Source organism: Homo sapiens, chromosome 8 (genome assembly GCF_000001405.40).
Source record: "Homo sapiens chromosome 8, GRCh38.p14 Primary Assembly".
NCBI classification, from domain to species: Eukaryota; Metazoa; Chordata; class Mammalia; order Primates; family Hominidae; genus Homo; species Homo sapiens.
In genome coordinates, this window is record NC_000008.11 from 74,848,138 (window position 1) to 74,874,188 (window position 26,051).

Here is a 26,051-nt window from a genome sequence, read left to right on the forward strand (position 1 = left end):
AACACAAAGTAATTCAATTAAATGGGTTCAGTATTATCAAAAATCTAATAGCACTAATTTAAAACAATTAGTAGCTATGAATTTGCATATGAAATAAAACTTTTGAAATCACCTTTAATTGTTCCTGAGAGACATTACTCTCTTATGAGAATAATGGTATATTGGTTTATACCATTATACCATATATGAAGTTTTTCACATCTCATTTTATGAAGATTGGGAAACTAAAATACTTTGCAGAAGCAAATCTCCTTTTATTTATGATAACTTATATTTTGTGTATATGATAACTTATTACTCATTTCATTATTTTTAAGCCTCCCAGAAAATATTAGTTTGTTTTTTTAATCATCCTCAGATGAGCATTAGTGTGAGTTTAAAAGGAGTAAGTTTAAGGGAATATGGCCTGAGTATGTGCTCCAGAAATCTGCTGTAGAAGGAGAGAGATTTGAGTGGAATGACCCTGGTGTCCCAGGGCTCTGTATCATCAGGCGTTGTAGGCATTCACTTCTTATCTGTAAATTAATATAGCATCAACAATACTAAGAATATATAAATATATATACAATATATATAAATATATATATATATATATAGAGAGAGAGAGAGAGAGAGAGACGGAGTCTCGCTCTGTCGCCCAGGCTGGAGTGCAGTGGTGCCATCTCAGCTCAGTGCAAGCTCCACCTCCTGGGTTCACGCCATTCTTCTGCCTCAGCCTCCCCAGCAGCTGGGACTAGAGGCACCCGCCACTACGCCCAGCTAATTTTTTGTATAATACTCAGAATAGTTTTCAAAAGCAAGATATACAGAATAAGTTACTATTGAAATAAGAAATGATTATAACTTTCAGTGACTTTCTAAAGCAACTTCTCAAACGGATCATCACATGTCAATACTTGTGAACATATGGCTTAAGGACAATCTACTTTTAAAAAATGGGTGGGTTGCACTAATGCTATCTTTTTTGTTTTCCCTTCTAGGGGCAATTGGATTGGAGAAGCACCATATAAAGTAGGGGTACCATGTTCATCTTGTCCTCCAAGTTATGGGGGATCTTGTACTGACAATCTGTGTTTTCCAGGAGTTACGTCAAACTACCTGTACTGGTTTAAATAAGTTTACCTTTTCCTCCAGGAAATATAATGATTTCTGGGAACATGGGCATGTATATATATATATGGAGAGAGAATTTTGCACATATTATACATATTTTGTGCTAATCTTGTTTTCCTCTTAGTATTCCTTTGTATAAATTAGTGTTTGTCTAGCATGTTTGTTTAATCCTTTGAAATATTTGAAACATCAATTTCTATTTTCTGACCTCTAAGCCTAAATTAAGATATTGTATATGTAATGATGACATAGTTGATGCATCCAATCCTAAAACTTACATTCCAAAGGAATTATATCATTATGTTCCTAAGGAGTAAATATATATTTGACCTGTAAGTGTGTGTATGTATACATATACATATGTATGTGTATGGATTTATATATGCACACAAACATATAATATGTGATGTAACATGTAGATGATAATATGATTCAGTAGTCAACTTGAGGGAAATTTTTAAAAAACTATTCTCAATTATATACGAGGTGATGGGACTTCTTAACACACATTTCTATAATACCCATGAAATGATAATTTGTAAAATAACACTTAGTGATATCTGGAAATAATAATTCAATTAAGCAACCACGAATTTCACCCTGGAGATATTTTTTCTTATTTGAGTCCACCAAAGGATAATGCCAACTTATATAAGTTCTCAAATCATGCCTTCCGCTTAGTCTCATTTTATTCATTCAGTCGTCATGAGTTGAGTGCTTACTACATGCAAGGCACTCTGCTAGTTATATTCTAATAATGCAGAGATAATTAGACATGGTTCCCGCCCTCAAGAAGCTCACAAAAGTATTCAGGAAATAATGCAGACTAGTGATTTTGCTATAAAATTATTTTTGAAGGAAGCAGACACAGCAGTATTTACCTGTAGGTGGAGCAAGTAATAAGCCATGCTGTGCAATATATACATAAAGCTTCTGCTTCTCATGGGAATTTAGTTACAGTGCTTGGAATGAGAAGGGGAAGGAAAGAATTAACAAATGCCAAGATTTCTGGAGCAGATTGTACAGCTGTGACTTTGGAAAACAGAAAGTAAGACCCTCAGAAAACCAATGAAGTCTAAGAGAAATAAAATTTAGTGGACAGGTATGAAAAGTGTAATTGCGCCTAACTACCAGATGGAGAGCTTCAGAATGGGCTATCCTTAGAGTCTAGTACATCTTGAGGCCTCTCAGCAGGAGACAAAGGATTCCAAAAAGAGATGTGGAGGTGCTGAGGGCACCTCTATCTCTTTGTTGTTTAGTCTGTCATTGAATCAATCTACTTATCATCTTGGGTCTTTGAGTATTGTATGAAAGATCCTTCGTGCACACCACACACAGTCATGATTTTGTTAAAGTAGCCTTCTTCAGATGCTTTTCTAAGGGCTAGTTACCAACTTTATTTCTGTGTTTCTGTAGAAGAAACATTTTCAGTTCTTCATTGAGTTTGATTATGGAAATCCATTCAAAGTCACTATGAAAATTTTACTCATGTAGTTTGGAAATGCAACATTTTCCTATCATGAAATCTCTTTCAGAGAGGAGAATACAACATCTTAGTCCAGACATTTAACATACTGCATTTCAAGTACATGTGTGTGTGTTTTATTCAGGTTGTGTAATGCTCCCGTAGAATTATAGAACAATTAAATATGGTTAGTTCCAGAGTGCAAATTACAGAAGGAAGCTACTTGTTTAAAATTCCATACACGTTTGCAGTTTCTTGTACACATTTGGATACTTTGAAAGATGACAGATTGTTAAATCCATTCAATGGTAAAGAAACTCACCATCTGGAGATTGAGTCTACTTGTTAATGAATGACTAGCCCAATTATCCTTATAAATTGAATATGGTGACCAAATGCTTTGATATCATACTACTCTGCCTTTGTGGGCACATATGTAGACACTACTAAAAATAAATATTTTTGGAGATTAAAATGGAGAATAGAAGTAATTACATTATTTAGGTCTTAATCCAACTTTTTTCTAATATATCTAAACAATTGAAAGGGAAGCTTATTCATGGAATATTGGCTTGATTTATCTAGAAAGTTTTTCCTTCTTCAATTTTACTATATTCATTCTACAGGAACAGCAATAAGTACTATTAAACAGAAGATGGCTACACTAAGTTCCAATTTTGTTGCTGAATTGCTTCTGTGAGTTCACTTTTCAGTTCTAAGGAAGAATAATATTTGCTACATATTTCACAGGGGTTCTTATGAAGGTAAATTTACCAGATTAATAAAAATTTATGAATATTAAAATTATCATTAATAATATAAAACACTTATTTGAGATTAAATTAAATTTTTCATGAGCCCCTCTTTGGCAGGAACTCTGTTTAATTCTTTGTATTTATCCCAGCTTCTTAAATGGTGGCTGTAACATAATAAATGTTTAATAAATGCTTATATGAATGGATTTTTAGAATTAACTAAGAAGCCAAAAATGGCAACAATTTACAGAAATCCCACCTTTCCATGCTTAAGACAAAAATGTCTTAAATATAAAGCTGTGATTATATCAAAAATCCAGATAAATCATCAAATATATCAGATTAAGACCAGGGTTTACACACTTAGGCAATAGTCCTTTCCAAACCATGACAAAAACTACAAGTTTATTTATAATTTAACAACTCAGCTGAAAATATAACGGGTATATTTGTTATTCTAACTCTATTTTTTAAAGTTAATAATATAAAGTGGCCATGTAAAATATTTTATTTTCCAGGCTAAAGCAAATGAAAGTTTGCTGGTATCAACACAGCCTGCCATATTTTTCACAGCATGCAACAATGGTGCTAGGATAGCTATTTCTTACTGTAATTGCCAGAGGCAGAAATGGTCTGGGTATAAGCTATTTCATAAAAGCAGCTTTAAATTGTCAGTATTAAGGTTTTCATGTGGAAAGGTGTCATTCAAAAAAAAAGTAATTGGCATACATATTCCACATCATCGATCCTCTCTGTGGTGTTAATTTTTTTATATGACCAGTAGAAAAATTTTAATATTCTCACAATATAGGTTTTGGGGCTTCCATATCATCAAAAGACTGAAAAATTATAATTTTAGAATTAAACTGATGGATTTCATTATAGAATTATCTGTGAGTTGTGTAGACACAGTCTTAATGTTTCTGGTTATGACAGATAAGTTTGCTCAAAAAATGTGGATGAAGCCATTATTGTTATTATTGTTATTGCTTCTGTTCAGTTGTCTAAGTATCATCCCTTCTGTGGCCCATCACGCAGCAGAGTTGCCCTACAAATTTCATTTGGCAGCGCCATAACATTCATTTAAAAAGTTTATGAAAACATTCATTTGAAAGTTCCATGCAGCTTTAGCACAGAGTTGACCAAACACTGGCGTAAGTTCAATTTACACAGAATATTTGAATTGAAACAATAGAAATTTTTCTCATAATATATACCTATGTGAAACCAACTTATCTGCATAATTAAATCTAATACATATTTAAGCCAGTTTAAGTGCTTTGTGTTGATGCCATGCTTATCAAATACATGCACAAGCTAAACATAATTTGAATGGGTCTATGAAGGAAAAATAATGCTTAGACTTTGGTGTAGGTTCTTCCTGTGTAGCCATATACCCAGGCTCTGCAGTATCGAAGGATGCAAATGTTGACATAGATGGAAGCTCTTACCTACCAAAGTGTTTAGGAAGGATAAAGTTACATTTGTCTTAATTTCTAACATTATCTTTGCTTTTATGTTTCATAAAAATTTGTCATTATTTATGCTGGTGAAACGTATAATCACATCCAATTATTTGAACACATGCAAAATAATTTTTTAAATTATGTTATTGTTTAAATTTGACTTATGGGAGATCAGTCAAAAACTTAGAAGGTTTAACACTTCACTGATTAATGGTGCTGAAAACACGTTACAATTACCACATATCCTTGCTATAAGTTTTGAAGTTTCTTAGCAATTAAAGTTTTTTTATTCAGTGTGAACTGTCAGTATCTATTCTGGTGCTAAATGTATGGTGCTAAATGAATTGTTAGTGTTGATGGCTTTAGTAATGCTCCTTTTATTCATTGCTAAATTTAGTGTTATCCATTTGATTCCTGATTCAGAAATATCAATAAAATCCTATGTTAAATTAATCTTTACCAAAAACAGGCAAGTTAACTCTGTTGTTTTAATTCAACAGTCCAACATTATTTAGGTGTTACAGAGTGTAAATATATTTCTTTGGGAGTTATTTTCTTTTTAAAATCTTTTTATAGCTTGGCAATGTCCAAAGTCAAATATCACCTAAACTGGTTAGATTACTTCTACAGCTAATAATATTGCAGGCACTGGCGCCCTCTGGTGGTTATGAAGACAAATTCTTAATGGCTACTTGACCTACAGCAAAAGCCATTTCTGTACCATAAAAATTTGTTGTGCAATATTAGAATTATCATATGTTTCCTACATCTGACAGCACCTAAAATGTTTGATAATATTAACATGTATCTAAGAGGAAAAAAGAGTTAATATATTCTGGCACCCACTTTCCTAGTAATGTTTTCCATGATTTTCCAGTTCTGAGGCACTTATTAAAGTGCTTTTTTTTTTCTGAATTAATTAGGTATTGGTAAAATATATTTTTAAATTTAGTTAGCTTTATAAACACAATTAGAATTACAATTAATTAACAGAGGTATAATTGTCTCACTTTCAGAAGTGATCATTTATTTTTATTTAGCACAGGTCATAAGAAAAATATATAGAAAAATAATCAATTTCATATATAAAAGGATTATTTCTCCACCTTTAATTATTGGCCTATCATTTGTTAGTGTTATTTGGTCATATTATTGAACTAATGTATTATTCCATTCAAAGTCTTTCTAGATTTAAAAATGTATGCAAAAGCTTAGGATTATATCATGTGTAACTATTATAGATAACATCCTAAACCTTCAGTTTAGATATATAATTGACTGGGTGTAATCTCTTTTGTAATCTGTTTTGACAGATTTCTTAAATTATGTTAGCATAATCAAGGAAGATTTACCTTGAAGCACTTTCCAAATTGATACTTTCAAACTTATTTTAAAGCAGTAGAACCTTTTCTATGAACTAAATCACATGCAAAACTCCAACCTGTAGTATACATAAAATGGACTTACTTATTCCTCTCACCTTCTCCAGTGCCTAGGAATATTCTTCTCTGAGCCCTAGGATTGATTCTATCACACAGAGCAACATTAATCTAAATGGTTTAGCTCCCTCTTTTTTCTCTAAAAACAATCAGCTAATAAAAAAAAAATTTGAGGGCCTAAATTATTTCAATGGTTGTTTGAAATATTCAGTTCAGTTTGTACCTGTTAGCAGTCTTTCAGTTTGGGGGAGAATTAAATACTGTGCTAAGCTGGTGCTTGGATACATATTACAGCATCTTGTGTTTTATTTGACAAACAGAATTTTGGTGCCATAATATTTTGAGAATTAGAGAAGATTGTGATGCATATATATAAACACTATTTTTAAAAAATATCTAAATATGTCTCACATATTTATATAATCCTCAAATATACTGTACCATTTTAGATATTTTTTAAACAGATTAATTTGGAGAAGTTTTATTCATTACCTAATTCTGTGGCAAAAATGGTGCCTCTGATGTTGTGATATAGTATTGTCAGTGTGTACATATATAAAACCTGTGTAAACCTCTGTCCTTATGAACCATAACAAATGTAGCTTTTTAAAGTCCATTGTATTGTTTTTTCTTTCAATAAAAGAGTATAATTAATTGGTTGTTTTTGAAGTATATCTAATTGTTTCCTTTTTTTCATAGTTTTAAAGTAGATTAGACACTAGATGAACTGGCCTTTTGGACCATCGGCCAGTTTTGATGAGAGATAAATCACTTTTCTAAAGCAACAATGATTGTATCTTTAACGCATCACTGAACACCAACTTCTCTATTTTTCTTTCTTCCTTCCCTTTTCTATTTTCTGCCCTCCTTCTTTCCTTCTTTTGCCACTAAATCCCCGCAAATATTTTGAGGTATCATTATAAAAGATATTTCCATGGAGGGAGAGCAAAAGAACAACATCAAGAAGTTCTGACTAAGGAAAACTGCTGCAGTTGACCATGAATATTTTTTGTTTCTTCCTAGAGGGCTTCTAAGCCTTTTTAAAGGAGAGGCACCATCTCAGGCCGCTAGTCTGCCCAAGGCTGGAGACTCCCAGGGTGGCTCTTCCTTGTAGAGGGGTAACTCTTTCATCTCTAATGAGATGGTTGATCTCACAGGCCAGTTGAGAAAGACCAGAATCTAGGACTTCATTTAAATTTTTCCTTACCATAGAGAGAGCCTCACTAACTGAAGCCTTTTCAAAGAGCATCTCCCCCACAACCCTGTAGCTGTCTCTCAGCTTCTCTTTCTCTTGCTAGTTGTCCTTGCTCACTTCACTTCCTCCTGTTTGAAGCCTCTGGTTTTCCACTCACAATTTTGGGAAGTTCTGTCATCTCCAGAGGAGGTGGGGTTCCATTCACTGATCTGTGCGTGTGTATGTGCATGCATGTGTGTGCAGGTGTGTGAGGTGTGTGTTGCAATTTCTAGCCCCACAGAGGCCTGACTGATGCTAGCAAAATCTCACCCTTCTATTCTGGGACATCTCTGAAGGTGAAGAAATGGGGCGGGGGGTGATGACCCCATTCAGTCTTACCCACTGTTGAGCACTAATTAGCCTGTGCTAATTATGAGAGGCAATGCCCCCTGACAAGGCAGACATTGGCTTTCCCAGATACAGCATACTGTACTCTTGTAAGCAAAGCCTATTCCTGCTGTCACTTGACTCTGCCCTAGGTCCTTCTGAGACAGTAACCTTGGCACTGTGGTCCCAGGAAGCACTGACTCTCTCCTGTGCCGTGCTTACACTTTGCAGGAGTGATTGGTCCTGTCTGGTCCTGTCTTAGCAAAGTGGAGAGGTGACACACATCCTCAGTTGAATATCTGTGACCTCAGCTCTCTCCTTTGATGAAGGAAAAATGAAATCCTGGCATGTTTCCTTCATTGACAGCCTAATAATTGAAGGGAACACGCCAGCTTATGAAGGAACACATGGATTTTACCAAACTTAGGTGCAGACAGAAATTCATTCTGTGACTTTCTACATAATACATTGAACAATGTAGTTAATTATCTCAAAAATGATTTTTTTCTGAAAACATGCACATGAAAATGGTATAACTATACTTTATTCTAAAAACTAAAAGGTATGTGAAAATTCTACAAGCTCTAGAATCTGTCAGTATCCTGCAAAATTGTGTATGCATTTACCCTTTAACTCAGCAATTCCTCTTCTACACATCCATTGCAGAAATACACTGGCAAAATATGAAATGACATGTGTACAGTGTGAATCATTATAGTATGATTTGTAACTATTTGTAATAGTGTTAGCGAAACATCAGGGGTTCAGTCTAGCTCCTGCTGCTCTCAGCATAGAAAGTCAGTCACTGAGACAATGATTATTGCCAAGGAAGAAGGCTTTGCAGTGGACAAGATGAGAGATCAGTCTCAGATTCATCTCCCTCTCTGACTAAAATTAGGGGTTTATATAGCAGGGAGGAAATGTCACCATGTATGGGAAAACAGGAACTCTGGAGAGGTAAAGAAGAAATCATAATGAATGAAGGGCCTGGCTTCTCATTGTCTGAATCTGGTGAGTTTCAAGCTTTAAGACCAGAAGGGTCAATCTCTATGTTTATCAAAAACAAAAACAACAGCAGCAGCAACAACAACAACAAAAAACCGTCTTTGGGACTACTGGGTCAGTTTCAATAGCAAAAGGCCAGAAACAAAGGTAAATCAGAAACGGGTTGGCTGAGTAGTATGCCCACATGAGATAATACATTGCCTTCCTTTGTTTGGGCTGCTATAATAAAGTATCACAGACTGATTGGCTTATAAACTACAGACATTTATTTCTCACAGTTCCGGAGCTTAGAAGTCTGATATCAGATGCCAGCCTGATGAGGCTACAGAGAGTTCTTTTCCGGGTTGCAGACTCCTGGCTTCTCCTCGTATCCTCATGTGGCAGAAAGAGAGTGTACCAGCTCTCTGAGGTTTCTTTTATAAGGATGCTAATTCCATTTATAAGAGCTCCACCCTCACAACCTAATTACCTCTCAAAGGTGAGCCCCCTAATATCATCACACTAGGGGGTCAGGATATCAATATATGAATTTGTGGGGATACACTCAGTCCATAAAAATTATGCAGTTGAAAAAAATCTTTATAAACTCATACGAAGTGGTCTCCCAGGATACTTCCCTAAGTGAAAAAAGTATTGTACAGAAGAGTGTAATTGGTATGCTACCCTGGTGAGAAGATTCTGGGGGAATACTACACGTACACAAGCATGCATTTATGATACTATCAGTTTTTATTCGCAAAAAGAAAAGTGGAATGGTGAATCAGAAAAGAATAAAAATTATTACCTCTAGGGGGTAAGAAGGGAACCTAATAAATGGACAAAAATATTTCAAATGACTCTAACACTTAGTATTTTGGGTGTATATCCTCAGTGGAACATATTTTAAAGATAGAGTTGCAAAGAAAGATTTCATTTTATTCAGTAGCCTGCTTGTAGTATTATTAGTGAGGGGTGAGAGACTAATGCACATAAGTAACTAGACTGCTCTTTTTAGAAATCAAAGTTTTCAATGTAAGAGAAAAGAGGTACCATCTGAAAAAATAACACTGAAGTATGAATTTGAAACATCAATATTAACTCAAGGTATTTGAGTTTATGTAGTCTTAAAAGCTCTGAACAGTGTAAAGTCCTAGAAACTCAGAATCCAATAGTGCTAAGTTCAGTTAGTGTACAGATTGTTGTCCCTAACACCATCATCGCTTAAGGTAAGGCTTGGCCTTACTTCAGCTGCCACCACCTAATCCTTGACACCACTGTCTCTCACATACATTAATGGAGTCCAAAGTGGGGTTTGTTGTCCCTAGTGCTCAAGAAGCACAATTGAGAGTCATGCTTAGGAAACACAAGAACTTGTTTTGATATTTAACTTTATCTAAGAAAAAGAAAGAAAAAAATGAAGATTCCCTGCAGGACAATGGATTGACAGCGATGGCTCTCCCTTGATCCATCAGTAAGGGACATGTTTCCCCAGAAGGGTGTGGTGTCTGAAGAATGGCGAGTGGCCTACGACAGCAGTGTCGCCTGTGCTTCTCATGCGGGTGTGTGCTTTTAGGGCTTTTCCACATACTGTATTTTAGTGAACCAGATAAGAGAATGAACTAATTTTGAAATCCGGCTTTTAACGAACATTGACAAAAAGTTTCAGAAAATTCCCACGGAACAAATATTAAAAATAATTTGATAATGAATGCACAAGTAACACTAGGAAATGTAAGAGCTGGTACTTACCTTGCTTACAATAACAAGCTGTCAACTACATTATAAGGTAAAAATAATGATGATCTACTATGATAGACTGGCCAAGGAATTCAAAATTTTCTAGACTACTAGGAGTAATAAATGTGCTGTTAATGATTCATATTTGCCTTGATAGATTAGCTGGTGAGTTAGGCCATCATGATTAGCACTGTTTTTAAATGAAAATAAATGTAAAATGATGATTGAAGTGATATACTAAACAAAACTTTTCAAAATTATTGAGCATATTTGAGCATATTTGATCATGTTGCTCTGCTAAAAATGTAAATACTGGCAAAATTTAAATTTGAAATTATAATAGAAATATCACAGTACTGTTCTGGGGAAAGCAAAATGACTTTATAGCATTGATGACAAAATATTTTTAACAGTTATTAGAAATTTTACTGTAAATATTTTGTTACTTGAATATTTTATAATGTATACAATGTATTATAATTCATGGAACCTAGGGGCTCTAATGTCTAATGTCTAATATATATCAGCACAGGTTATAATTTATATCATACACAATGGGGTAGGGAAGATCCAAACTTTTTACTATCGGATTGCACAGCCAAAAATTTTAGAAGCAATAGGTGCGAACCGGGGCAGCTTCCTAACAGGTCTGTCTGCTTCCACTTTCGCTCTCTCACTGTCCAGCCCCACAGCACCAGGATTGATCATTTTCAAAGTAAAACACACCCCATGACTTTCCTGCCCAAGACCTTCCAGCGACATTCCAATGCACTTTTTTTTTTTGCTTTTTTTTTTTTGAGACAAAGTCTTGCTCTGTCACCCAGACTGGAGTGCAGTGGCGCAATCTTGGCTCACTGCAACCTCCACCTCTCAGGTTCAAATGATTTTCCCGCCTCAGTCTCCTGAGTAGCTGGGACTAAAGGCACCCACCACCAATCGTGGCTAATTTTTTTTTTTTTTTGTACTTTTAGTAGAGATGGGGTTTTGCCATGTTGCCCAGCCTGGTCTCAAACTCCTGAGCTCAGGCAGTCCACCTGCCTTGCCCTCCCAAAGTGCTGGGATTACAGGCGTGAGCCACTGCGACTGGCCTCCAATGCACTCATAAGGAAATCTGAGTTTCATCGCTATTCACGGGAGCTCTGCTGGGTGGCTCCTGCCTCCTCCTTCAAGGTCCTTCTCTGCTTCATTGCTGCTGCTCACTCTGCCCCGACCTTACTTGCTCTCTTTCCTCCAGGTTTATCTCCTTGGTGGGGCTTTTTCAATTGTTCTTCCCTCTACTCCTACTGCCTCCCAGATATTACATGGCTTTTTATCTCTCACTTTATTCTGGCCCTTCCTAATAGACACTTTTCCAACCTCCAGATTTAAAACAGCCCTCTTGCCCCTCCAGCACTCTCTGCGTTTGCCTTAGTGTTATTACCTCCATAGCAGTGACACTGTGATTACTCTGCTAAGATCCCTGTGTGAGCGTATATGCGCCATTCAGTTGCATTACATATGTTGACTTAAGGCTGTCTCTCCCACTAGAATGCAAGCTTCATGAAAGAGAGATTTTTCCTTATTTATTTGCTGTTTTCCTAGATCCTAGAAATGTGCTTAATACTTTGCAGGTGCCCAGTAAATATTTTTAGGGGGATCAAACGATGAATGGAGTCGTAGGGATTAAATGAAGTAATGTACATAGAACATTTAACATGGTTCCTTGTGAGGAATTAACACAAATCATTATTTATCTCTATCATTTTTTACAATGTTCTGAAAAATAATTAGGGATCTATGAGATCTATATTCTTAGAAAGTTTGTGCTAACGGAGTTAATTTGCCATAGAAATAGTAAACCAAGCTTGTTTTTTCACAAAACTAGTATTTATCATCTGCTATGTTACTTTTAAAAAAAAAATCTGTAGCTGGAAATAATTACATTAATATCTTTTAGGAATGGGTTCATATAGTTTGAACAGTCAACTCATGACACAGATTGCCTAGATAGACATTTTTATGTTGGCCCCTGATTTCACCTTTACATTGATAAGAATGTGGCAAAGAATGCAAGTTCTGGGAAAACAGCACTGAATCCTTTAGCTTTTTCCTATACTGTCTGTATTTGAAAATGAAAATAGGCCACAGAGAAAGACAACGAAGACATACATGAGGAGAAGTACGCCTGTGAGGCTGAGGTGGGAGGATCGTCTGAGCCTGGGAGGTCCAGGCTTCAGTGGGCTGTGATCATGCCATTGCACTCCAGCCTTGGCAACAGAGTGAGACACTGTCTCAGAAAAATAAGTAAGTTTGCTCAGTAATTCCAGTGTGAATCAAATAGGGTAATCTGAAAATGACCGAATCAACTGGCATCTTTGAAACTTGGGTGTTTTTTTCTACAGTACTTAATGAGTTCTACTCAGAAGACTAAGAATGTGAGAATTTTATCTAACTGATTCATCAGCTTGAGCCACTAAATGAATATGAAAAAGAAACTACTTCACATAGAAAAAAAAGTCTAAGTATGTGAAATATCTTTTTGGAGCTAGAAAATAAAATGTTAAACCATACATATAATGAAACAACTCTACCAAACTATAATTATATTAACAAATTTTCAGATAAATTACAATCTTCCCTGAGGTTGAACACAACATCCATATATTTAAAAAATATTGTGGTGACAAACAAAATTACCTGTATGCAGTTTTGAATAACCTTCTGGAAGAGGAGGGATACTGTGAATCTCTGAGAATCACTGATAGAGACACTCATGAGTAAACAGAATGAAACTAGTCTGTTTAATTTATTAAAGTTCTCTGTGTGCTGCTTACTTCTGTATTTTATTATAATTATGTGCATGGTTATTCATTTTTTTTCATGATTTTCTTGAGTTCCAACTATGTGCCAGACTCTATTCTAGGTTTTGGAGCTATGCAGTGAGCAAACCAAGTAAAAATCCATGCCTTCATGGAACATCTGTTCTAGACGGGGAGAGGTTGACAAGAGACACAAAGACACGGAATATGTCAGAGGGTAATCAACACTATGGAGAAAAAATAAGGCAGGATGAGACAGAGGAAGAACAGGGAGGGAGGATGCTTAATTTTACCTAAGGAGTCAGGAAAGTCCTAATGAAAGTAACATTTCAGCAAAGATATGAAAGATTTGCTGGAGATAGCCATGTGGCAACTGTACCTAGGCATCTACCATGTGTATCTCTGGGGAAGAAGTTTCCAGGCAGCGGAAGATGGAGGCAAAGGCCTTGTGGCAGGACCATGCCTGTCTGGTCCACAGATGTGCAGCAGAGGGGGAGAATAAAATAGTATTAGAAAAGGCGGCTGGGTGCAGTGGCTCACGCCTGTAATTCCAGCACTTTGGGAGGCAGAGTCGTGTGGATCACCTGAGGTCCAGAGTTCGAGACCACCCTGGCCAACATGGTGAAACCCCCAGCTCTACGAAAAATACAAAAAATTAGCCAGGCATGGTGGCGAGTGCCTGTAATCTCAGCTACTCAGGAGGCTAAGGCAGGAGAATCACTTGAACCCTGGAGGCAGAGGTTGCAGTGAGCTGAGATTGTGCCATTGCATGATAGCCTGGGTGACAGAGTGAAACTCCATCTCAAAAACAAAACCAAAAACAAACAAAAAAATAAAAAATTAAAAAATTAAAAGAAGAAGAAAAAAGAAAGGGGCCAGAGATTTCTTAAAGGATGCAGAATTACGGCTAGATAGTAGGAATAAGTTTTAGTGTTCTATACCACCATAGGATTACCATGATTAAGAATAATATAGAGTTTCAAATAACTGCAAGGAATATATTGAATATTGCCAACACAAAAACTGATGTTTGAGATCATTACCCTGGTCTGATAACAATATATTACATGTATCAAAAAACTTCACTGTATACCCCATAAAATGTACACTTATGAGTCAATAAAAAAAGGAAATGAGGACAAGGAGATCACAAAATACTGTGTGGACCAGATTATTGTAAGGACTTTGACTTTTATTCTGAGTGAAACAGAAAGTCATTGAAAGTTTTAAGCAGAAAAGTGCCATGATTTAACACATTTCAGAAGGATCACTATTTTCACTGTGCTCAAAATAGACTGTAAAGAGGCAGGGAGGTCACCTTCATTAGGATCTTGCTCTGTCAATCATCTTTTCTTTCTCTGGTAGTTTTACTCTTCTTCCAAGCCCAGAAGAGCACACAGAAAACAGCCACTGTCTTATCCACTGTTTAGTCCCTGACTACTCAGACTCATGAATGTGCCTCACACAGTCATTGACTTCATTTTTTGATCAGATTATTAGATTTTTCCTATAGAGTTGTTTGAGCTCCTTATATATTCTGGTTATATAACCTTGTCAAATGGGTAGTTCAAATATATTTTCTCCCATTCTGCAGGTTATCCCAATTGCCTGCTTAATCCCTGGCCTCTTGCAATTCATTCATTCTACAAACATTTTTTAGCATGTTTCACATGTTAGGTACTATCTAAAATAAAAATCAGGCAAGTGCATACCTGCCAGAAACTTATGTTGTGGTGGCAGGTGGCAGAAATATAGAAGTCACTAAGTGTATAATAAAATGCCCAGTGGAGATCCTTGCTATGAGGAAAAATGAAACAGGGGAGGACAGAGAGGATGATGGGACCATAGGTACCTGAGCTGGTCAAGAAGGGCCCCACTGAAGAGGTAAAATCTGAGCCAACACCTGAATGATGTCCACTCTCCCTGAAATGCAACTGTGCCTTGAAAGAATTGTGTGATTTCACTGAAAATAACTAGCACTTTTATTGTCTTTCTTCATTGTCTCTGTTGAACTTAAGGCAGTTTTCATTTGATTTTTCTTGAAATTCTTCTCCTTCAGTTCTGTATTTTCCTACTTGACCTCTATTATCTCCGGGACTTTGAGTGGTTTAATGAGGAACCCATATCCCCTAGGCCAAGCCTGACATGTCACTCTGCTGTTCAAATTCTTTTCTTTGCTTCTTGCCCCTTATAGAATAAATGCAAACAGCCTTTATTTCCATTTAACTACCCTCAGGCTGAAGGCCAGAGTTTATATTTACAGCTTATTTCTACTATGCTTCATCCTTTTTTCTAAAGATAAACTGATACCTTGTATTACTTATATCTTCTTCCATACTTCCCAACAACTCTGCTGAGTCTCACACAATTTACATCGCCTGGGCATGCGTGGGACAGCATAAATCTGTCATGGCTTTAATTTTACCTCTTCTGGAGGTCTTTGGTTTCCCAATTTATGAGCATACTTTCTTTCCTTTGAGCCCCAACAGCACTTGAACGATATCTCTATTCTTGCATTTACCTTCTAGTTTCCCTTATTGCGTAATCATAAACATCCTAAAAATATCTTTAGTACACAACAAGTTCTGTGCTAGGGTCATCTTTGTATTACACACTACTAGCACAGAATAGCCATTCACCATTGAAAGAATTGATGCTTTTATTCAGGACTGTGGTCAAGCTGTCATATTATTTCTGCCATAGTCATATGCCTGCATGTACATGAGTGACTAACAGATGCCACTCTTGTAGCTATCTGCAGTGGCATACTTCTGTTGCAAACTTATGGGAACTTAGTTACATCATAGGTATACTAAATATATTTTTTCCATTACTCATACTCAAATATAGAAGAAATAGAAAATGTTTGTCAAAGAAACGTATGCAGAGAACACGTGAATGATTTTTAGTTTTCCAATCTTTGACAAAGTAACGTAATTCATACTTCAAGTGGACAAGTGAGTGTGTGGTGATGTTTTCAAAGATATTTGAGAATAAAGTTGAAGAGAAACACTGACTAAATAAGAGTGAGAAACTGATATAAGGGTTGTAAATTTTTTCAAAAATGGTTCAGGGCTCTACTTTAATTAAAAGTATTTTCAGGATGGGCGCGGTGGCTAACGCTTGTAATTTTAGGGCTTTGGGAGGCCAAGACGGGTGGATCACCTGAGGTCAGGAGTTTGAGACCAGCCAGGCTAACATGGTGAAACCCAATCTCTACTACAAATACAAAAGGTTAGCCAGGTATGGTGGCACATGCCTGTAATCCCAGCTACTCAGGAGGCTGAGGCAGGAGACTCGCTTGAACCTGGAAGCCTGGGTGACAGAGCAAGACTCCGTCTCAAAACAAACAAATAAACAAACAAACAAAAAGTATTTTCAAAGATCATTTCTACTTAGTGTAAATTTAAATGCCAATTACAATAGAATAGCTGATCCCCTTGTTAAGTAAATATTTATGGCAAAATATAACTTTATAATTTAAATAATTCATAATATCCTCCAGTAAATAAAAATTATTTAGGGCATTTCAAAGCATCTGTTCTATTTCCTAATTTTTTTTTAACAAGCACAATGCACAAACAAAACATTAAATAAAAAGTATAATGGTATCACCTTCTATATGTTTCATATACTTGCATATTTTTACATATGCATACATATTTTTACATATTAAAAAACAGTCCACATTATTTGCATTCTACTCATTTCTCTAGTGGAAAAGCTAGCTAGTTACATTCTAGCATGAAATGTACTGTAATGCAATTTTTTTTTTGAGATGGAGTCTCCCTCTGTCACCCAGGCTGGAGTGCAGTGGCGTGATCTCAGCTCACTGCAACCTCTGCCTCATGAGTTCAAGCGATTCTCATGCCTCAGCCTCCCAAGTAGCTGCTATTACAGACTTGCACCACCACACCCAGCTATTTTTTGTATTTTTAGTAGAGACGGGGTTTCACCATGTTGGCCGGTCTGGTCTCGAACTCCTGACCTCTGTTGATCCGCCAGCCTCAGACTCCCAAAAGTGCTGGGATTACAGGCGTGAGTCACTATGTCTGGCCTATAATGCAATATTAAATGAGAATATCAAGTATACCTTAGGAAGACCTGGGATTTGTGGGTAGGTATGGACTCTTAGACTTTCTGACCGAGATGATCTCTGAAACAAATCCTCTCTTCCTTTTCCTGTTTTCCATAATCATGAGTTTTTTTTTCCCAAAGTGATGTAAGACATTTGGCAATATATTTAAAGTTTTAAAACTCTAAGCACAACATATTAAAAGAAAACTGCACCTGAGCACATCATAGTCAAATTACTAAAAATCAAAGAGAATGAAAGCTTTTAAAGCAGCTGAAACAAAGGACAATTGTCATTAATGGTGCAAGAAGTAGACCAAAGGGTTAATTTTCAATAGAAACTTTGAATGATGGAAGGCAAAAGAATAATATCCTTAAAGTAGTAAAAGCAGAAAATCGCCAAACTGAAATTCCAAACCTGTAGAACTTATTATTCAAAAATAAAAATGAAATAACATATTTGCAGATTGAAAGAAAAAAGCTGAGAGAATTATTGCCTGAATAAACTAATGGGTGTGCTTCAGACACAAGGAAGGTGATACCAGATGAAAAAAGTGAACTATAAGAATAAATAAATAATGCCAGAAAGGTGAATATAAAGGGAATATAAATGAGTATTAACTGTTTAAAAGGACAGCAATAATGATGTCTTATGGGTTTATAATGTATATACAATAATATATATGGGAACAATAATATAAAGTGGGGAGGAAAATAGAGTGTCTTCCATTGATTAGGGAACAGTAACTGTATTAAGTCATAATTTAAGAAACCATATAATCTCTAGAACAATTATTGAAGGAATAATAGAAGAATGTAAAAATAAAAATCTAATAGAGCAGGAAAATGAGAAAAATGGATTACTCAAAAGAAGTCAAAAAGAAAGAATTAAGAAACAAAGATGAGACATAGAGAACCAATGGCTAGATTATACAATTCAACTTGTATATCAGTAATTACATTAAAAAGTTATTTTAGAAAACTCTACCTGAGGGAGGAGCCAAGATGGCCGAACAGGAACAGCTCCGGTCTACAGCTCCCAGCGTGAGCGACGCAGAAGACGGGTGATTTCTGCATTTCCATCTGAGGTACCGGGTTCATCTCACTAGGGAGTGCCAGACAGTGGGCGCACGTTAGTGGGTGCGCGCATCGTGCGCGAGCCGAAGCAGGGTGAGGCATTGCCTCACTTGGGAAGCGCAAGGGGTCAGGGAGTTCCCTTTCCGAGTCAAAGAAAGGGGTGACGGACGCACCCGGAAAATCGGCTCACTCCCACCCGAATACTGCGCTTTTCCGACCGGCTTAAAAAACGGCAAACCACGAGAGTATATCACGCACCTGGCTCGGAGGGTCCTACGCCCACGGAGTCTCGCTGATTGCTAGCACAGCAGTCTGAGATCAAACTGCAAGGCGGCAGCGAGGCTGGGGGAGGGGCGCCCGCCATTGCCCAGGCTTGCTTAGGTAAACAAAGCAGCTGGGAAGCTCCAACTGGGTGGAGCCCACCACAGCTCAAGGAGGCCTGCCCGCCTCTGTAGACTCCACCTCTGGGGGCAGGGCACAGACAAACGAAAAGACAGCAGTAACCTCTGCAGACTTAAATGTCCCTGTCTGACAGCTTTGAAGAGAGCAGTGGTTCTCCCAGCACGCAGCTGGAGATCTGAGAACGGGCAGACTGCCTCCTCAAGTGAGTCCCTGACCCCTGACCCCCGAGCAGCCTAACTGGGAGGCACCCCCCAGCAGGGGCACACTGACATCTCACATGGCAGGGTATTCCAACAGACCTGCAGCTGAGGGTCCTGTCTGTTAGAAGGAAAACTAACAAACAGAAAGGACATCCACACCAAAAACCCATCTGTACATCACCATCATCAAAGACCAAAAGTAGATAAAACCATAAAGATGGGGAAAAAACAGAACAGAAAAACTGGAAACTCTAAAAAGCAGAGCGCCTCTCCTCCTCCAAAGGAACGCAGTTCCTCACCAGCAACGGAACAAAGGTGGATGGAGAATGACTTTGACGAGCTGAGAGAAGAAGGCTTCAGACGATCAAATTACTCTGAGCTACGGGAGGACATTGAAACCAAAGGCAAAGAAGTTGAAAACTTTGAAAAAAATTTAGAAGAATGTATAACTAGAATAACCAATACAGAGAAGTGCTTAAAGGAGCAGCTGATGGAGCTGAAAACCAAGGCTCGAGAACTACGTGAAGAATGCAGAAGCCTCAGGAGCCGATGTGAACAACTGGAAGAAAGGGTATCAGCAATGGAAGATGAAATGAATGAAATGAAGCGAGAAGGGAAGTTTAGAGAAAAAAGAATAAAAAGAAATGAGCAAAGCCTCCAAGAAATATGGGACTATGTGAAAAGACCAAATCTACGTCTGATTGGTGTACCTGAAAGTGATGGGGAGAATGGAACCAAGTTGGAAAACACTCTGCAGGATATTATCCAGGAGAACTTCTCCAATCTAGCAAGGCAGGCCAACGTTCAGATTCAGGAAATACAGAGAATGCCACAAAGATACTCCTCAAGAAGAGCAACTCCAAGACACATAATTGTCAGATTCACCAAAGTTGAAATGAAGGAAAAAATGTTAAGGGCAGCCAGAGAGAAAGGTCGGGTTACCCTCAAAGGGAAGCCCATCAGACTAACAGCGGATATCTTGGCAGAAACCCTACAAGCCAGAAGAGAGTGGGGGCCAATATTCAACATTCTTAAAGAAAAGAATTTTCAAGCCAGAATTTCATATCCAGTCAAACTAAGCTTCACAAGCGAAGGAGAAATAAAATACTTTACAGACAAGCAAATGCTGAGAGATTTTGTCACCACCAGGCCTGCCCTAAAAGAGCTCCTGAAGGAAGCGCTAAACATGGAAAGGAACAACCAGTACCAGCCGCTGCAAAATCATGCCAAGATGTAAAGACCATCGAGACTAGGAAGAAACTGCATCAACTAACGAGAAAATCACCAGCTAATATCATAATGACAGGATCAAATTCACACATAACAATATTAACTTTAAATGTAAATGGACTAAATGCTCCAATTAAAAGACACAGACTGGCAAACTGGATAAAGAGTCAAGACCCATCAGTGTGCTGTATTCAGGAAACCCATCTCACGTGCAGAGACACACATAGACTCAAAATAAAAGGATGGAGGAAGATCTACCAAGCAAATGGAAAACAAAAAAAGGCAGGGGTTGCAATCCTAGTCTCTGATAAAACAGACTTTAAACCAACAAAGATCGAAAGAGACAAAGAAGGCCATTATATAATGGTAAAGGGATCAATTCAACAAGAAGAGCTAACTATCCTAAATATATATGCACCCAATACAGGAGCACCCAGATTCATAAAGCAAGTCCTGAGTGACCTACAAAGAGACTTAGACTCCCACACATTAATAATGGGAGACTTTAACACCCCACTGTCAACATTAGACAGATCAACGAGACAGAAAGTCAACAAGGATACCCAGGAATTGAACTCAGCTCTGCACCAAGCAGACCTAATAGACATCTACAGAACTCTCCACCCCAAATCAACAGAATATACATTTTCTTCAGCACCACACCACACCTATTCCAAAATTGACCACATAGTTGGAAGTAAAGCTCTCCTCAGCAAATGTAAAAGCACAGAGATGATAACAAACTATCTCTCAGACCACAGTGCAATCAAACTAGAACTCAGGATTAAGAATCTCACTCAACACCGCTCAACTTCATGGAAACTGAACAACCTGCTCCTGAATGACTACTGGGTACATAACGAAATGAAGGCAGAAATAAAGATGTTCTTTGAAACCAATGAGAACAAAGACATAACATACCAGAATCTCTGGGACACATTCAAAGCAGTGTGTAGAGGGAAATTTATAGCACTAAATACCCACAAGAGAAAGCAGGAAAGATCCAAAATTGACACTCTAACATCACAATTAAAAGAACTAGAAAAGCAAGAGCAAACACATTCAAAAGCTAGCAGAAGGCAAGAAATAACTAAAATCAGAGCAGAACTGAAGGAAATAGACACACAAAAAACCCTTCAAAAAACTAATGAATCCAGGAGCTGGTTTTTTGAAAGGATCAACAAAATTGATAGACCGCTAGCAAGACTAATAAAGAAAAAAAGAGAGAAGAATCAAATAGACACAATAAAAAATGATAAAGGGGATATCACCACCGATCCCACAGAAATACAAACTACCATCAGAGAATACTACAAACACCTCCACGCAAATAAACTAGAAAATCTACAAGAAATGGATAAATTCCTTGACACATACACTCTCCCAAGACTAAACCAGGAAGAAATTGAATCTCTGAATAGACCAATAACAGGATCTGAAATTGTGGCAATAATCAATAGCTTACCAACCAAAAAGAGTCCAGGACCAGATGGATTCACAGCCGAATTCTAGCAGAGGTACAAGGAGGAACTGGTACCATTCCTTCTGAAACTATTCCAATCAATAGAAAAAGAGGGAATCCTCCCTAACTCATTTTATGAGGCCAGCATCATTCTGATACCAAAGCCGGGCAGAGACACAACCAAAAAAGAGAATTTTAGACCAATATCCTTGATGAACATTGATGCAAAAATCCTCAATAAAATACTGGCAAAACGAATCCAGCAGCACATCAAAAAGCTTATCCACCATGATCAAGTGGGCTTCATCCCTGGGATGCAAGGCTGGTTCAATATATGCAAATCAATAAATGTAATCCAGCATATAAACAGAGTCAAAGACAAAAACCACATGATTATCTCAATAGATGCAGAAAAAGCCTTTGACAAAATTCAACAACACTTCGTGCTAAAAACTCTCAATAAATTAGGTATTGATGGGACATATTTCAAAATAATAAGAGCTATCTATGATAAACCCACAGCCAATATCATACTGAATGGGCAAAAACTGGAAGCATTCCCTTTGAAAACTGGCACAAGACAGGGATGCCCTCTCTCACCACTCCTATTCAACATAGTGTTGGAAGTTCTGGCCAGGGCAATTAGGCAGGAGAAGGAAATAAAGGGTATTCAATTAGGAAAAGAGGAAGTCAAATTGTCCCTGTTTGCAGATGACATGATTGTATATCTAGAAATCCCCATTGTCTCAGCCCAAAATCTCCTTAAGCTGATAAGCAACTTCAGCAAAGTCTCAGGATACAAAATCAATGTAAAAAATCACAAGCATTCTTATACACCAACAACAGACAAACAGAGAGCCAAATCATGAGTGAACTCCCATTCGCAATTGCTTCAAAGAGAATAAAATACCTAGGAATCCAACTTACAAGGGATGTGAAGGACCTCTTCAAGGAGAACTACAAACCACTGCTCAAGGAAATAAAAGAGGATATAAACAAATGGAAGAACATTCCATCCTCATGGGTAGGAAGAATCAATATTGTGAAAATGGCCATACTGCCCAAGGTAATTTACAGATTCAATGCCATCCCCATCAAGCTACCAATGCCTTTCTTCGCAGAATTGGAAAAAACTACTTTAAAGTTCATATGGAACCAAAAAAGAGCCCGCATCGCCAAGTCAATCCTAAGCCAAAAGAACAAAGCTGGAGGCATCACACTACCTGACTTCAAACTATACTACAAGGCTACAGTAACCAAAACAGCATGGTACTGGTACCAAAACAGAGATATAGATCAATGGAACAGAACAGAGCCCTCAGAAATAATGCCACGTATCTACAGCTATCTGATCTTTGACAAACCTGAGAAAAACAAGCAATGGGGAAAGGATTCCCTATTTAATAAATGGTGCTGGGAAAACTGGCTAGCCATATGTAGAAAGCTGAAACTGGATCCCTTCCTTCACCTTATACAAAAAGCAATTCAAGATGGATTAAAGACTTAAACGTTAGACCTAAAACCATAAAAACCCTAGAAGAAAACCTAGGCATTACCATTCAGGACATAGGCATGGGCAAGGACTTCATGTCTAAAACACCAAAAGCAATGGCAACAAAAGCCAAAACTGACAAATGGGATCTAATTCAACTAAAGAGCTTCTGCACAGCAAAAGAAACTACCATCAGAGTGAACAGGCAACCTACAAAATGGGAGAAAATTTTCGCAACCTACTCATCTGATAAAGGGCTAATATCCAGAATCTACAATGAACTCAAACAAATTTACAAGAAAAAAACAAACAACCCCATCAAAAAGTGGGCAAAGGACATGAACAGACACTTTGCAAAAGAAGACATTTATGCAGCCAAAAAACACATGAAAAAATGCTCATCATCACTGGCCATCAGAGAAATGCAAACCAAAACCACAATGAGATATCATCTCACACCAGTTCGAATGGCAATCATTAAAAAGTCAGGAAACAACAGGTGCTGGAGAGGATGTGGAGAAATAGGAACACTTTTACACTGTTGGTGGGACTGTAAACTAGTTCAACCATTGTGGAAGTCAGTGTGGCGATTCCTCAGGGATCTAGAACTAGAAATACCATTTGACCCAGCCATCCCATTACTGGGTATATACCCAAAGGACTATAAATCATGCTGCTATAAAGACACATACACATGTATGTTTATTGTGGCATTATTCACAATAGCAAAGACTTGGAACCAACCCAAATGTCCAACAATGATAGACTGGATTAAGAAAATGTGGCACATATACACCATGGAATACTATGCAGCCATAAAAAATGATGAGTTCATGTCCTTTGTAGGGACATGGATGAAATTGGAAATCATCATTCTCAGTAAACTATCGCAAGAACAAAAAACCAAACACCGCATATTCTCACTCATAGGTGGGAATTGAACAATGAGATCACATGGACACAGGAAGGGGAATATCACACTCTGGGGACTGTTGTGGGGTGGGGGGAGGGGGGAGGGATAGCATTGGAAGATATACCTAATGCTAGATGACGAGTTAGTGGGTGCAGCGCACCAGCATGCCACATGTATACGTATGTAACTAACCTGCACAATGTGCACATGTACCCTAAAACTTAAAGTATTAAAAAAAAAGTTATTTTATCTTGATTTTATGGAAAAATATAAAAATTATAAAGTTTTAGGCACCAAGCCATATATTTTCAACGTAAAGATATGGCAGAACTAAAAGAAAAAAATGGACATTTCAACAATCATTGGGGAAGTTGGAGCACATGTCTTAATAATTGACAAAATCAGCAGTCAAAAAAATTCAAGAGAGACCTAGAAGATTTGACCCACCAATATGACTTATTTGTACATATAGAAGACTTTATCCAACAACTGCATAATAATGTTCTGTATGTGTGTCAATGGACCACTTATCAAATTGGACCCTATAATAGGCCAGAAAGCAAGACTAAGCAAATTTCACAAGATTGAAATCACACAGATTCTGTATTCTTTATATATATATATATAATATATATAATATACATACGAACAGCTTATTATGTATTTTATTACCAAAATATATTTATTCCAGTAATTTGAATAAATTTGAAACCAATAAATCCAAAACAAATTTGAAGTTGGTTTGCCATCCAGAAATCAATTAATGTAATTCTAATCATTATCAAATAAAGATGAAAATTCATATATCATTTAAATAGAAGCAGAAAATTCATTTGATAAAATTAACGAACTATCATAAAACAATAACAAAAACCTCTCATTGTTTGGAAAACTAAGTAACCTTCCTTAATCTGATAAAAGATATTAACAAATGTCTTACTGCTACCGTCATATTTAATCTGGTTAAATATTGAACAATTTTCTATGGAAGCCAAGAATAAAACAACTATATATACTATCATCACTTTTATTCAATATTGTATTAAAGTCTTATCCAGTGTAACATGGCAAAGAAAAAAGATATATATATATAAAGGAAAGGGAATGTTTGAGTTGCCACTATTAATGCAAGACATGATTGTGCACATATAAAATCTGGAAGAATATACAAATAATTAGAATTAATAAGTATGTTTGACAAGGTCATTGAATATGCAAATGTAAGTTTGACTTTCTGCTTATTAGCAACAAAAGCTAAACATTAAATTAAAAAAAGTTTATAATAGTACCAAAGTACCAAATAGTTATAAATTTAATAAACTATGTGTAAGACTTTTACTCTGAAATTTTAAAAGCTAATCAACTGAAATGTATAAATCATTTGTATGCACTGAAAAGCCCAGTGTTCTTAAGACTCCAGTACCCTCCTAGTTGATCTATAAATTCAATGTAGTCCCTATTAAAGTTCCTTTGTGTGTGTGTGTGTGTGTGTGTGTGTGTGTGTAAATTGACCACCTGAATATAAAATTTACAGGAAAATGCAAAGACCTAGAATAGCCAAAAGTCTTGAACTGGACAAATAAAATTGAGAGTACTTTACCAGATCTCAGGACTGATTTTAACAACTAGAGTAGGTAAGTCAGTGTAGTATTGGCATAAGAATACTCAAATTCAAATAGAGTGACCAGAAACAAACTCATATGTATATGTGTGTTTGTGTGTGTGTGTGTCTGTGTTTCCTGATTTAAGACATAAGTAATACTGCAATTCATTGGGGAAAGGTTTATATTTTCTATAAATTCTTCCTTATAATTTGACTATCCATTTGAAAACAAACAAACCAATAATATTGAGCCTTATCTCACACCATAAATTAATTTGAT

The 26,051-nt window shown here is 36.8% G+C and overlaps 1 protein-coding gene across 2 annotated transcripts in view; it reads left to right on the forward strand.

Moving 5' to 3' along the window:
• PI15 (peptidase inhibitor 15) overlaps window positions 1-6,892 on the forward strand; it is a 30,496-nt gene extending 23,604 nt beyond the window's left edge. For both annotated transcript variants that reach the window (NM_001324403.2, NM_015886.5), the window contains exon 6: window positions 981-6,892. In NM_001324403.2, coding sequence (NP_001311332.1) covers window positions 981-1,116 — 136 coding nt within the window. In that variant the 3' untranslated portion in view covers window positions 1,117-6,892. The remainder of the gene's footprint in view (window positions 1-980) is intronic.
• Window positions 6,893-26,051: the final 19,159 nt, after the last annotated feature.